We start from the raw sequence: 14,028 nt of genomic DNA, 5'->3' as shown, positions 1-14,028 counted from the left end.
AGAGGCAGCAAGAGGAGGCCAAAGCCTTGGCCAGCATCCGGGTGGTTTCAGGTGACATCTCTCATGTGGAGAAACCCGCCTCAGGGTTCTCCTCCACCTCCCCGATGGCTGCCCTCCAGCTCACAGGCCCTCCCAGACGCCTTTTCCTTTTCGCACCATCAGTGTCTCTGCCTTTCCACACCATCAGTATCTCCGGTTGAGGTTGTTGCGGCTGCAGGCCCCCAGGCACGTGCCAGATGCAGATGCTGTGGGCATTTCCGCTCAGCTACAAGAACAGTGCCACTGAGGCATCCAGAGGCTGCGACCTCCACCAGCAACAGTCACGTCCGTGGTGTTTGTGCTTCACTACAAGTCCCTGGCCAGCAGGCTGGCAGGTTTCATTTTCATTTTCGTGGGCATTGTGCACGGCCCCATGTTCACAGGAATCCAGGCACGGAGTGGACGTCCCCTCCCTGCTGCATCCCCAGCCTCTCAGTTCTCTCCAGAGGTCAGCGCTGGATTGTTTGTGTGTCCTGCTGGAGACTCCCGTACACACAGCATTGCTATGATATCTTTTTTGTGGTGCTTTTTTGTTTTGTTGGTTTTTTGGTTTGGGTTTTTTTGAGTCTTACTTTGATACCCAGTGCAGTGGTGCCATCACAGCTCACTGCAGTCTCAAACTCCAGGGCTCAAGGGATCCTCCCGACTCAGCCTCCTAAGTTGCTAGGACTACAAGCATGAGCCACCACGCCCAGCTAATTAAATTTTTTTTTTTTTTTTTTTTGTATAGACAGGGTCTTCCTATATTACCCATGCTGGTCTCAAATTCCTGGGCTCAATCGATCCTCCTGCCTTGGCCTCTTGTAGTGCTGGGATTACAGGCATGAGCCTCTGTGACTGGGCCCTTTTTTGTGGTTCTTACTTTGAACAGAAAAGGTAGCCTGTGTGGACACTGCTCTGCACCCACGGTTTTGCAAACCTGATGCATTGGGGAAGTGTCTCGTGGTGACAATGGAGCTGCCGCTTCTTTTTTCCTGGCTGTTTCCCCTTCAACAGTGTGGATGTCCCCACACATTATGCACCCCACCCCATGGTGGTGTCCTGGTTGTGCAGAGAGGCTGCAGTCAGCACCCTTGCTCAGGGACCTGGTTATCTGTGAGCCAAAGTCATCAGTAGGTCTGGGGACACTCCCCATGCCAATTCTATGTCTCACCACATTCTCCTCTGGCCTCTCAGCCCCCAGCACACAGGCAGCTTCAGCCTCTGTTTCTGCTGAAGCCCTTTCTTCATACACCCTAGAACACAGAACACAGGACAGAGAGAGAGACTTTAGTAGGAATACTGACATTTAAAAACTTATCAGAGATATGAAAAATCAACTACATGAAGTATGGCGGTATATTAAGGCTTTGTGAATAAAAACACAATAAAGGGTGGGTGTGTAAAGCTATTTTCCAATCATCCTTCCAAACCAAGTCTTTTGAGGGAACAAGGCCTCCCAGCAGGTGGCAGGATGGGCCCAGCACTGTCTTCAGCCCATTGCTGTCCTGAGTTAGGAAAGGCTGAATTCTATTTTACATGCAAAAGAAAACATTTATTTAATTAAAGATTCAAGCTACAATACAGTTCTTCATAAAACACTAAAATATTTTGATTATTGATATTTTTCTGTTGCTTTTTCTCATGAAACACTATTTGCCTTTGTGAAACCTGAAGTTTCCTCTTCTATCAATGAGAAGGTATATCAAATGGATAGTCCATCCAGTGTATCCAACATCAACTACAAAATGTCTCCCTTTTTCCTAATTTTGCCTTTTTTCCCCCTTTGTCATTCTTGAGTCTCTGTTAGTGCACTGCAGAAGTAAAGACGTGTACTTAAAGAAATGCCAACATCTGCTGAAGATCAGATTAGATTCCATATTTTGTATTTTAGTTGATGTAATGATGATTTTAGTTATGACGACTTTAGTTGATGTAATGATTCTAATGAACAGGAAATATTTTGTTTCCTATTTTAAAAAATACCATTAAATCATGCTGAATATTTTTCAATTTATTTCGGATGTGTATTCAAGGGGTTGCCATTTCACCTGCTTCAGTCTTCCCTCTAAACCAATCCTAAGACATACCTAGGCTGAATTCATATCACGTGAAAATCCATCACATGATGTCCTACTAGGTCAAAAAGTATAAAAACTGACATTATGGAGAAAGACTTCATTGCAACCAGGACAGAAAGACACTAAGGCACACAGTGCTCAGACCGGCGTGCTGACAAGATCTCTGGTGGGAGGCCATTGTCTGGACACCTGCTGGGCTTTGTCCTGGACATCATTCATTCACTTGAGCACGTTTGGTACCCAGGGTTCCTTCAGGTACATCAGTATTCAGTGGCATGCCCAGAAGTCAGATGACTCTCAAGTCAGGGGTGCAAAGTCAGACTCAACTTGCTTTGGGAAGTCCACTGGGGTGCAGGCTGTGTCAGGAAGCTTCCTGGCAGGGAAAAATCAACAGCATCAACTAGGATGGAAGTACATCAACTGATGGTGACCCTGCACATGTGGCTTTATCAACGATGCATCTGCCAGTCTCCAAAACAGTGCAGATTCAATGCAGTCCAGGAGGAAATTCACTCACGTGACCAGGCAAAATGCAACTAACAATTCACGGTGCTTTTTGGTTGTGGAGACCTTTCTCTGGGTTACTGTTTCCCAAAGGAAAGCTGTGTCTTCAGAAACAAACTGATCAAGAGATACTTTCAAATGTTTCATGTAGAATTGTTTCTAATCTTCTAGCTATAGGATACTTCATTACCCAGAGAATGTGCCACTCTCCTGCCTGTGCATGGGGCTTATCCACTAGCAAGCCATCCAGGGCCTCTGGGTGCTATAACTCAGAGGGTCTCTGAAAGAGCACGAGGGAGAATGTTGACATGAATGGTTTTCTCTGTTGGCTACACCTGTCTTACACGGAGTTCTATGTGTCATTCAAATACCTTCATATATTAAACTTCAGGGCATTCCAAGTCTCATGCAAATCTCGCAGAGGAAATTTTCCAAGGGTTTTAGGCCCTCCTCTCCCATTTGGGAGGTTTTGTTGATTTCTAACTGCAGAATGAGGTGCTGGAACATGCCAGATTCTGGTTCCCATGGCCATAACAGAGCTGGATGACAGGGGTGACCACAGAGGCACAGTCCTGAAAGCATTGCACAGTAAGAATGCAGAGTATCTACTCAGGGTAGAGGACGGCTACAGAAACATGCTCAGCTTGTCATGGTGGGTACAGGCATGGGAAGGGGGCACAGGAAGCTCAGGTGGTATCTTCAGGGGCACCCCCAACCTCCACCATGATACCAAAAGAAGATGTAACTGACCACTGGGAGGAGGGCCCCACATGGTCCTGCTGTGTCCTCTTCGATCTGCTTGGCACTTTTGCTGTTGCAGAGCTCCTCTGAAGCAGGGTCCCATGCAGCAGCAGCACTGAGGACTGCGTCCACCGTAATAGGCTGTCAGATGTGTGTGAGGCATCTTGTGCAAGGTCAATGGCAGGCCCAGTGCTGTTACATGAGCAACTACTTTTCACAATTATTTTAAAACAATATATGGCAACATTGGGAAGCTGCTTTCCTTTAAAGTGGTTCAATGTTTTTAGTTTGGACAAGATATGACTAAATTAATTTTCACATCATTGTGCTCAGGCACAAGCTCATGCATGAGGCATGACCAAAAATAGTTCTGGAAAGATAAGGCCAGTCTACAAGCCAAAGGCACACGTATGATGGAGGGCACCTATAGACGGTGGGGACACAGGAGGAGCATGCCAAGAAACCCTGTGAACTGACCTTCCTGCTGCCAAGGTTGCAGCCTCCACCACTGCAGCTCTGACTCACAGTTTACATTGCTGAAGTCAAATAAAATGTAGAGATGAATCTCTAAACTTAACACTGATTATTTAGGAGGCAAGAATGGCAAAGTGGGGCATACTCACAGATTGGGTGGTCTTCAGTGTGTTCCAAGAACAAAGAGAAAGTTGAGAGTTTTTATTTTAAAATTCATATGGAACCAAAAAGAGCCCGAATAGCCCAGGGGCAATCCTAAGCAGAAAGAACAAAGCTGGAGGCATCATGCTACCTGGCTTCAAACTGTATTACAGGGCTACAGTAATCAAAACAGCATGGTACCGGGACAAAAACAGGCACATAGACCAATGGAACAGAATAGAGAACCCAGAAATAAGGCCGCATACCTACAAGTGTCTGATCTTTGACAAACCTGTCAAAAACAAGCACTGGGGAAAGGATTCTCTATTCAATAAATGGTGTTAGGATAGCTGGCTAGCCATATGCAGAAGATTGAAACTGGACCGCTTCCTCTCACCATATACAAAAATTAACTCAAGATGGATTAAAGCAGAGGTCCCCAACCCCTGGGCAATGGACTGGTACAAGTCTGTGGCTTGTTAGGGACCAGGTCGCACAGCAGGAGGTGAGTGGCTGGTAAGCAGGCATTACCACCTGAGCTCCACCTCCTGTCAGATCAGCAGCAGCATTAGATTCTCATAAGAGCGCAAACCCTATTGTGAAATGCACATGTGAGGGATCTAGGTTGTACACTCCTTTTGAGAATCTAACTAATACCTGATGATCTGAAGTGGAACAGTTTCATCCCGAAACCATCTCCCTGCCTACTGCTCTCTGTGGGAACATTGTCTTCCACAGAGTCAGTCCCTGGTGCCAAAAAGGTTGTGGACTGCTGGATTAAAGACTAAAATGTAAAACCCAAAACTGTAAAAACCCTGGAAGACAACGTAGGCAATACCGTCCTGGACATAGAAATGGACAAAAATTTCATGATGAAGACACCAAAAGCAACTGCAACAAAAGCAAAATTTGACAGATGGAATCTGATTAAACTTAAGAGCCTCTGCAGAGCAAAAGAAGCCATCAACAAAGTAAACAGAAAACCTACAGAATAGGAGAAAATATTTGCAAACTATGCATCTGACAAAGACATAATATTCAGCATCTCTACGGAACTTAAAGAAATTTACGAGAGAAAAACAACCCCATTAAAAACTGGGCAAAGGACATGAAGAGACACTTTTCAAAAGAATACATATGACCAACAAGCATATGAAAAAAAAGCTCAGTATCACTGATCATTAGAGAAACACAAATCAAAACGACAATGAGATATCTTCTCACACAAGTCAGAATGCTTATTATTAAAAAGTCACAAAATAACAGATGCTGGAGAAAAGGGAACGCTTGTACACTGTTGGTGGGAGTGCAAATTAGTTCAACCATTGTGGAAAGCAGTGTGGCAATTCCTCAAAGAGCTAAAAACAGAACTACCATTTGACTCAGCAATCCCATTTGGGATTTATATACCCAGAGGAATATAAATCATTGTACTGTAAAAACACATGCACACAAATATTCATTGCAGCACTATTCACAATAGCAAAGACATGGAATCAACTTAAATGACCATCAATGACAGATTAGATAAAGAACATGTGGCATATATACACCATGAAATACTATGCAGCCATAAAAATGAGATCGTCTTTTTCAGGAACATGGATGGAGTGGGAGGCCATTATCCTTAGCAAACTAAGGCAGAAACAGAAAACCAGACACCACATGTTCTCACTTATAAGTGGGAGCTAAATGATCACAACACATGGACACATAGAGGGGAACAACACACAATGGGGCTTACCTGAGGCTGGAGGGTGGGAGGAGGCAGAGGAGCAGAAAAGATAACTAGTGGTTACTGGGTTTAATACCTGGGTGATGAAAAAAATCTGTACAACAAACACCCATGACACGAGTTCACCTACGTAAACTGATAACAAACTTGAACATGCACCTTCAAACCTAAATTAAAAGTTTTTTTAAAAAAAGAAAGGTGAGAGTTTTATTAGAGAAATGTTAGATATTGTTTGGAAAGAAAGCACATTGGCTCTGAAGAAGCTTCTGGGAGCTGGCAAGCTCTGACTGGTGAGTGACAGCTGGAGGTAAGGTTTGTCTTTGAGTCAGGGCAGTGTGTTTGAGGAAATATGAGCTTAAACTGGTCCTTGGGTTACAGCTAGGCTTGTGGAAAATTCAATTTTCAGAGCAGGTTCTCTTGGTATGACCAGTGCTCTTGTCCTACAAGCCTGTCCCCATGCCATGACAACCCAGTAGACAGTCCCTCAGGGCCCAGGACCATGGGGCTTCTGCATCATGTGCAGCAAGGACTTCAAGCATCCTCTCCATTTCCAGGTCACCCCTGGAAACAAGGCTGCTGTAGCTAATTTGTGTATCAGAGATGTAATCACAGCCATGGACTGGGGAAATACCAGCCATAGCGCACAGTGGGAAGCTCAGAACAAAATAAAAAACAGCGCAGATGACATGACTCTCATGGGGGCCAGATCTGAACACGAAATCTCATCTCTGGTGACAGAGGAAGAGGAACATCATCCATACAAGATGAAATTAGCCTCTGCACCCCAGGAGGTCCTGCATGTAAGAAGGGCCCATGTCCGAAGTGCCATGCCCTTCACCACCTCACCGGCCTCCAGCACTGCCACCAGGGTTATCACGAGTCAGTGCAACCACCCAGCTGGCCTCTGCTCCATCGAAAAATCTCCGGCTTTATCCACGCCTTGCAGTCAAAGACACTGCCAGGGGCAGGGTAGCTGCAGCCCCTCAGAGCAGGCTTAGCCTCCAAGCAGTCTCTCATTGACAACCTGAAGTTTGTGAGACAATTCCAGAGAAACAGGAGTTAACACAGATATTGTGCTTTCTACAAATTGAAGGTTTGTGGTAATCATGCATCAAGCAAATCTGTCATTGTTTTTCCAACAGCATGTGCTCACTTCCTGCCTCTGTGTCACACTCTGGTAATTTTCACAATATTTAAAACTTTTTCATTATTGTTATTTCTGTTATGGTGATCTGTGATCAGTGATCTTTCATGTTCCTATTGTAATTGTTCTGAGGCATGAACCAAGTCCATATAAGATGGCAAATTTAATCAATAAATGTTGTGTGTTGACTGCTCCATCAGTCGCCATTCCCCATCTCTCTCCCTCTCCTCGGGCCTCCCTATTCCCTGAGATGCAGCAATATTGAAATTAGGCCAGTTAATAACCCTACAATGGCCTCTAAGTGATCAGGGGGAAAGGAAGAGTCACACAGCTCTCACTTTAAATCAAAAGCTAGGAATGATTAAGCTTAGTGAGGAAGGCATGTTGGAAGCCAAGATAGGCCAAAAGTTTGACCTCTTGTGCTAAACATTTAGCCAAGTTGTGAATGCAAAAAAAAAAAGTTTTTGAAAGAAATGAAAAGTGCTACTCAGTGAACACAAGAATGATAAGAAAGCAAAACAACCTTATTGCTGGGCTGGAGAAAGTTTTAGAGGTGTGGAACCAGCTGTGGGTCAAAGCCTCATCCAGAGCAAGACTCTAACTCTCTTCAATTCCATGAACCCTGAGAGATGAGGAAGCTGCAGAAGAGAAGTTGAAGTCTAACAGAGGTTGTTCATGAGACTGAAAGAAAGAAGCTGTCTTCATAACGTAAAAGTGCCAGGTAAAGCAGCAAGTGCTGATGTAGAAGCTGCAGCAAGTTCTCCAGAAGATCTAGATAACATCATTGATAAAGGTGGCTACACTAAACAACACATCTTCAATTTAGATGAAACAGCCTTCTATTGAAATAAGATGCTACCTAGGACTTTCATAGCTAGAAAGGACAAGTCAATGCCTGGCTTCCAAGTTTCAAAGGACAAGCTGACTCTTTTGTTAGGGGCTAATGCAGCTGGTGACTTTATGTTGAAGCCAGTGCTCACTTACCATTCTGAAAATCCTAGGGCCCTTAAGAATTAAGCTAAATTAACTCTGCCTGTGCTCTGTGAATGCAACAGGGCCTGGATGACAGCTCATCTGTTTACAGTATGGTTTACTGAACACTTTAAGCCTGTGATTGAGACCTATTGCTCAGAAAAAAAGATTCTCTTCAAAATATTGCTGCTTATTGACAATGCACGTAGTCACTCAGAAGCTCTGATGGAGATATACAAGGAGATTAATGTTGTTTTCATGCCTGCTAACACACATCCATTCTGCAGCCCATGGATCAAGGGGTAGTTTTAGACTTTCAAGCCTTATCATTTAAGAAATATATTTCATAAGGCTATAGCTGCTATAGATCATGATTCCTCTAATGGATCCAGGCAAAGTAAGTTGAAAACCTACTGGAAAGGAGTCTCTGTTCTAGATGCTGTTAAGAACATTCATGATTCATGGAAGGTCAAAATGTCAACATTAACAGGAGTTTGGAAGAAGTGGATTCCAACCCTCATGGATGACTTTGAAGGGTTCAAGACTTCAGTGGAGGTTACTTCTGATGTAGTGGAAATTGCAAGAGAACTTAGAATTAAAAGCGGAGCCTGAAGATAAGACTGAATTGCTGCAATCTCATGATTAACTGATGAAGAGTTGCTTCTGATGGATGAGCAAAGGCAGTGATTTCTTGTGATAGAATCTGCTTCTGCTGAAGATGCTGTGAACATTTTGAAATGACAACAAAGGATTTGGAATGTTACATAAACTTAGTTGATAAAGCAGCAGCAGGATTTAAGAGGATTGACTCAAATTTTGAAGGAAGATCTTCTGTGGGTCAAATGCTATCAAACAGCATCGCATGCTACAGAGAAATCTTTAGTGAAAGGAAGGGTCGATCAATGTGGCAAATTTCATCATTGTCTTATTTTAAGAAATTGCCACAGGCTGGGCACAGTGGCTACACCTGTAATCCCAGCACTTCAGGTAATGGGAGGATCATTTGAGGCCAGGAGTTCAAGACCAGCTTGGGCAACATAGAAGGGCCACATCTCTACAAAAAAAAAAAATTTAAAAATTAGCCAGGCATGGTGGCATGTACCTGTGGTCCCACCTACTCAGGAGGCTAAGGCAGGAGGATCGCTTGAGCCTGGGAGTTTGAGGCTGCAGTGAGCTGTCATTGCACCACTGCACTCCAGCTTGGGTGACAGAACCAGACCCTGTCTCTAAAAAAAAAAAAAAAAAAAGAAAAAAGAAAAAAGAAATTGCCACAGCCACCCCAACCTTCAGAACCACCACCCAGATCAGTAAGTAGCCATCAACACTGAGGCAAGGCTCTGCAGCCAAAAGATTACAACTTGCTAATGGCTCAGAGGGTTGTTAGCATTTTTTAGAAGTAAAGTATTTTTAATTAAGGTGTGTACACTGTTTTAGACATATGCTATTGCACACTTCATAGACTACCATATAATGTAAACATAATTTTATATGCACTGGGAGACCAAAAAATTTGTGTGACTCTCTTAATTGTGGTGGCCTAGAACCAAACCTGCAATATCTCCAAGATATGCCTGTAGCTTTTTGTTTGTTTGTTTTAGCTTTCTCATGGTGCTGAGTGTGTCTGTAGTTAAACAGCCTCTTGTCTTCATTCCCAGGAGCCAGCTGAGGAGGTGTCATGCAACTTGCTGCCCCAGCCCTCCCCTTCTAAGGAACTCCCACACCTGCCCTGTCTTCCTGCTACAGTCTCTGAGAAAAGCCCTTTCATCTGTCAAGAACTACAAAAGTCATTCTTTAAGGTAAGAAAATGTGAGGAAGCGATCCATATAGGAAGTTAGAAATACGTACATCAATCAATTCCTATAAGAAAAATGTATAAAATGCCATTTAGTAATGAAAATCTCCTACATTTGCTACTACAAAAGGGAGAATTGTATCTTTTTAAAATGTGGGTGAAAATAAAATAGAAGTATTCGTTAGTGAATATTTTATCCCTGTGAAATACATGCTCCTAAATATAGATAACAACTGAGGAAGAAGACCAGGCAAAGTCAAAAACAACTAAGACAAACAAAACCAAGAAAACAAGTGTCTCAACGGTTGTGACAAATGGAGGCAGGGAGCTTGTCTTGGTCTGTTTTGTGTAGCTATAAAGGAACACCTGAGAGTGGGTAATTTATGAAGAAAAGAGGTCTGTTTGGCTCACAGTCTGCAGGCTGCACTGAAAGCATGATGCTGGCATCTGCTCTGCTTCTGGTGAGGCCTCAAGTGGCTTCTGCTTGTGGCAGAAGGGGAAGGGAAGCTGGCCTGTGCAGTGATTACATGCTGAGACAGGAGGCAAGGGAGACAGGGGATGTTCAGGCTCTTTTTAACAACCAGCTCTCCCCGAGATTAATAGAGCTCAAGAGCTCACTCACCCCTGAGGGAGGGCATTAAATCCATTCAAGAAGGATCTGCCCCCTTTAGGCCCCACCTCCAACACTGAGGATAAATTTCAACATACGATTTGGAGGAAACAAATATCCAAACTATAGTAGAACTACCCAGGAATGATCTTGGGCAGAAACAGGAATAAAGATTCCCCATTCTGGAAACATCTGCACAAGGTGGCCAGAAGTGAAAAAATTGAGAAAGTCCAAGCCTCCAGGGAAATGGAGTGAGGCTCTAAAAGCATTAATCTAAAGGGCAGGATAGGAGCTTTGCTATTGAGGAGACCTCCAGACAGATGCCTGCAAGCACCTTTGTAGTCGTAAGCACTGCTTTGCTGTGTAAACCATTCTTGGTCAACATCCTAACTTGATCTCACTCCCACCTGCCTTACCTGTGGAAAGCCCTTTTCTCCTTCAAGACTGAAAAAACTGTGCTTTCCTTGAAATGGTATTTGTAATCAATAAGGGGTAAAAATTAAATACTGCGCAACTAGATTCATGAAAGCAGAATACATAGAACAAGAGCATATTCAATACAGGCAAAGCATGTGTTCACAGATTTGCTCCTGTGAATGGAGAAAAATGAAATATAATTTTTTAAATTGGCAGTAAAATCAAAAGTTTATTATAATTAGTACTATTACAAAAAAAAATTCTTAACCTGTGATTATCAGAGGGAGCTTAGAGAAATAGAAAAGAACAGTAAGGGCTCATCTTTGGTGTCAAAGGGACAGCCCCAGAAAATCAAACTGCTTGGGGAGTGGACACTCTTTCTCTCCCAAAATGCCACCTTCCTCCCAGCTCACCCTCACCTACCACCAGCTGTCCCTGAAGAACACCAGTGAGGATCAATTGCTCTTCTGTGTTTGTATCAGCAGTGCTAAATAAACAATGAAACAGACACAAAGTTAAAGTTACCTGATCCAAAAAGGAGTGAAGCCTAGACCCCAGCCCACTGACTCAGTCTCTAAGTCCCCTCACTCAAATCTTCAATCAACAGTGGAGATGGCTGTGAGCTCTTCTGATTCCAGATGACAATACTCCTGCCTTTAATTCCTTGATATGTTTAATTATGTAAGTAAATTTAATATAAAAATCATTGCATTAGAGTTCGTGGTTTTTATACAAGATTCAGTGTGAGATCAATGTCATACTTCCAATTTGTCACACTTATAGAGAACTGAGAAGAGTCACATTATTTAAAATCTTAGCAAATGTGCATAATTCCTTTGGATAATTTTAAAGTGATAGGATTGGATCACATATGATGCAATTTCCTGGGTCTCTTTTGTTTTTAGATGTTTTTATCTCTCGTATTGTGGATCTCATATTTATGTGAATAATTATCAGAAGATTTTATTTCTATTATGCATATTTAGTATAAAATGATCATACAGTGAAGAGTGTGTAAAATCAAAATAAAATGCCATTCATCACCTCTGGCTCTCATTCCAAGAGATAATCATTGGCCATTTCTCATGCAAATTTCCTGAAGAGTTCTAAGTAAATAGAAGATCTATGTACACACACTTAACCTCTACAGGAGTTTGGTCCTCAGTCTTCGCTCATATCCTTTAATGAGATTTATAATTAGTCCCACTGTTTCCATGGAACAAACTCAACCATTATAATACCTGTGCGTCTTTCTATGGACTTGTATGACCGTCATACCAAGAATACTTCTAGAAATCCCAAGTCTTTCCTGTAAAATTCTTCTGCTCTATGTGGTCTCCACCTGGGACACATGATGGTTTTCAGTGGTTTCTGGGCTGGTTTCAGACCTGGATGGCTGCACTCGTGCCTTGGAAGGGTTGCTTCCAGAGAACCTGCACCTGGCCTCCAGCCTGCTGGTCTCAGGTGGTTGGACTTCTTCCATGGAGGCTCAGGGATCATGAAAAGAAAGTCCCAAGAGACAGGCAGGGAAAGGTGCCAGTGTCTCAGTCCTGGGCCAGAAACCAGCAGGTGAATCTTTCCCTGCCCTTCAGTGGGCACAGCTGTCTCAGAGCCCGCCCTGTTTCCAGTTGAGGGGATGTGACCTCCACCCACCAGCAAGAGGATTGGACACCCAACTCATTCAGCCTTGACTCATCCTGGGTCACACTAACTCAGCCAAGGCTCCTGTTTGCCCAGCCAGGGCTCCAATTTGCCACCTGCTGCTCCCCGACCGAGGTGAGGACTCCCTGGCCTTGGTGGAATCACTGAGGGTGGTCATTTGCATCCTTGGACACAGGCCCAGGCAGAGTCATCCAAATACCCACCATGGTTTCCTCAGCCACCAAGTGCCTAGGTTGGGATCCCGGCCCTCAGGGTGGGCCACATCTGGTGGACTTGAACGTTCTGTGGACCCTCTCTGCCCCCTCCTGCCCTCACCAGGCTTCTATACACCTGGGGTGTGGGTTGGGTTTGAATCTGAACAGGCCATGTCCAGGGAGAACTGTAGGGCTCACCCCGCAGTCCTGAGCAGTCTCATTTTCGTTTCCTCCTGCAGGTGGCCAACAGCAGGATTCCCTAGGGTCTCTGCATCTGAGCTGCAAATATTCAAAGAGATGCTTTAAGGACCATTTGTATTCACATTTTTCTTTTTATTCCGTCAATTTCAAGACTTTTTAAATATTAGCTAGATTAACCTCCTATCTGCTGCAAACATTGTCTCCCAATTTTTTACTTGTATTTTGCTGTCATTTATGGTGTTTTTGGCCATGTAAAAAGGTTTCGCTTAATATTTATGTATTAATTTGCTAGTTCATTCTGTGAGTGCATCAGATTCTTTGAAGCATAATGATGAAAGCCTTCTCTATACCCAGGTTTTCACAGAATTACTCATGTTCGCTTCTGGTTCTTACATGGTTTCAGTTTCCACATTTAAATCTCCAGTCAATTAGAGTTTGATCTTGTGTGACATGTGAGATGTGTACCCAATCTCATTGTTTTCAGTATGGCCATCTAGTTTCCCCAACACTATTTATTTAAAAGTCCATCTTTTCCTCAGTGATTTGACATGATGCCTTTATCATATACCAAATTCCCACACATAGCTGGGATATTTCCAGGCTTTGTAGTCTTCATGGGTCAGCTGGTCTATTGCTGTGCTGTATATTATGGCTTTAGTAGAGACACTTTGTAGTATATTTTAGATCTGGCAAAATATGTGTGTGTGTGTGTGTGTGTGTGTGTGTGTGTGTGTGTAGATATAGATATATGTAATTGAGTTATCTGCCTTCAACCCCAGTTCGTTTTTTTCAAGGTGTTCCTAGCTCCAGTGGAAGGGAGCAACTTAGTCTTTTTGTATGTACTAATTTGTTCTGGGGACCCTCACAGCCCTGTTGCTTTGTGATAGCTTTATGCCTAGCAATAAAAAGGCTTTCTTTGCACCCTCTGGAACCTTTGTCAATGCTTTGCGCTTCTTTTCTTTGAATATTTGGCAAAAGTATCATTCCGATGACTGCTTTGTAGTCAGTGTGATGTTTGAAAGGTTTATGTGCTGTAGATCCAGGAAACCCTGATAGCGAGGCTGTGACAGAGTGTACTTAATTTGCATTCAACTTTCTTTTCTTTCCATTCCTTTCTGAGAAAGGATCTAAAATGGATCTGTGATATCAAAGCCTGTGGGTGGGCCATTGAGTGCAATTGCAGCATATGCAGCGGACTGTGCCCAGAAGAAATGTTTCCCAGGAACTAGCACAGTATTCCCTGTTCCATGCTCTAATTATATGCTAAATTGTGTGCCTCTGAGCAGCGGGAACCCTTGGAAGGTCAAGCACCCTCTCCGGGGCAGCAGCACCTCTGCCTGGA

The 14,028-nt window shown here is 43.4% G+C and overlaps 1 long non-coding RNA gene and 1 pseudogene across 2 annotated transcripts; both read left to right on the top strand.

The window, feature by feature from the left end:
* Positions 6,156 to 6,762, top strand: PDLIM1P3 (PDZ and LIM domain 1 pseudogene 3; annotated as a pseudogene).
* Positions 9,466 to 11,335, top strand: LOC124903955 (uncharacterized). Of its 2 annotated transcripts, none has more exons than XR_007065673.1 (2): positions 9,466 to 9,606; positions 11,115 to 11,335. It is a non-coding gene; the product is annotated as an uncharacterized LOC124903955 (long non-coding RNA). The 2 variants fall into 2 exon arrangements; XR_007065674.1 differs by having other exon boundaries at positions 11,112 to 11,335.
* Positions 11,336 to 14,028: the final 2,693 nt, after the last annotated feature.

Source organism: Homo sapiens, chromosome 17 (assembly GCF_000001405.40).
Source record: "Homo sapiens chromosome 17, GRCh38.p14 Primary Assembly".
Taxonomy (NCBI): domain Eukaryota; kingdom Metazoa; phylum Chordata; class Mammalia; order Primates; family Hominidae; genus Homo; species Homo sapiens.
Note: the sequence above shows the minus strand (reverse complement) of the source record. Positions and strands in the feature narration are given on the sequence as shown.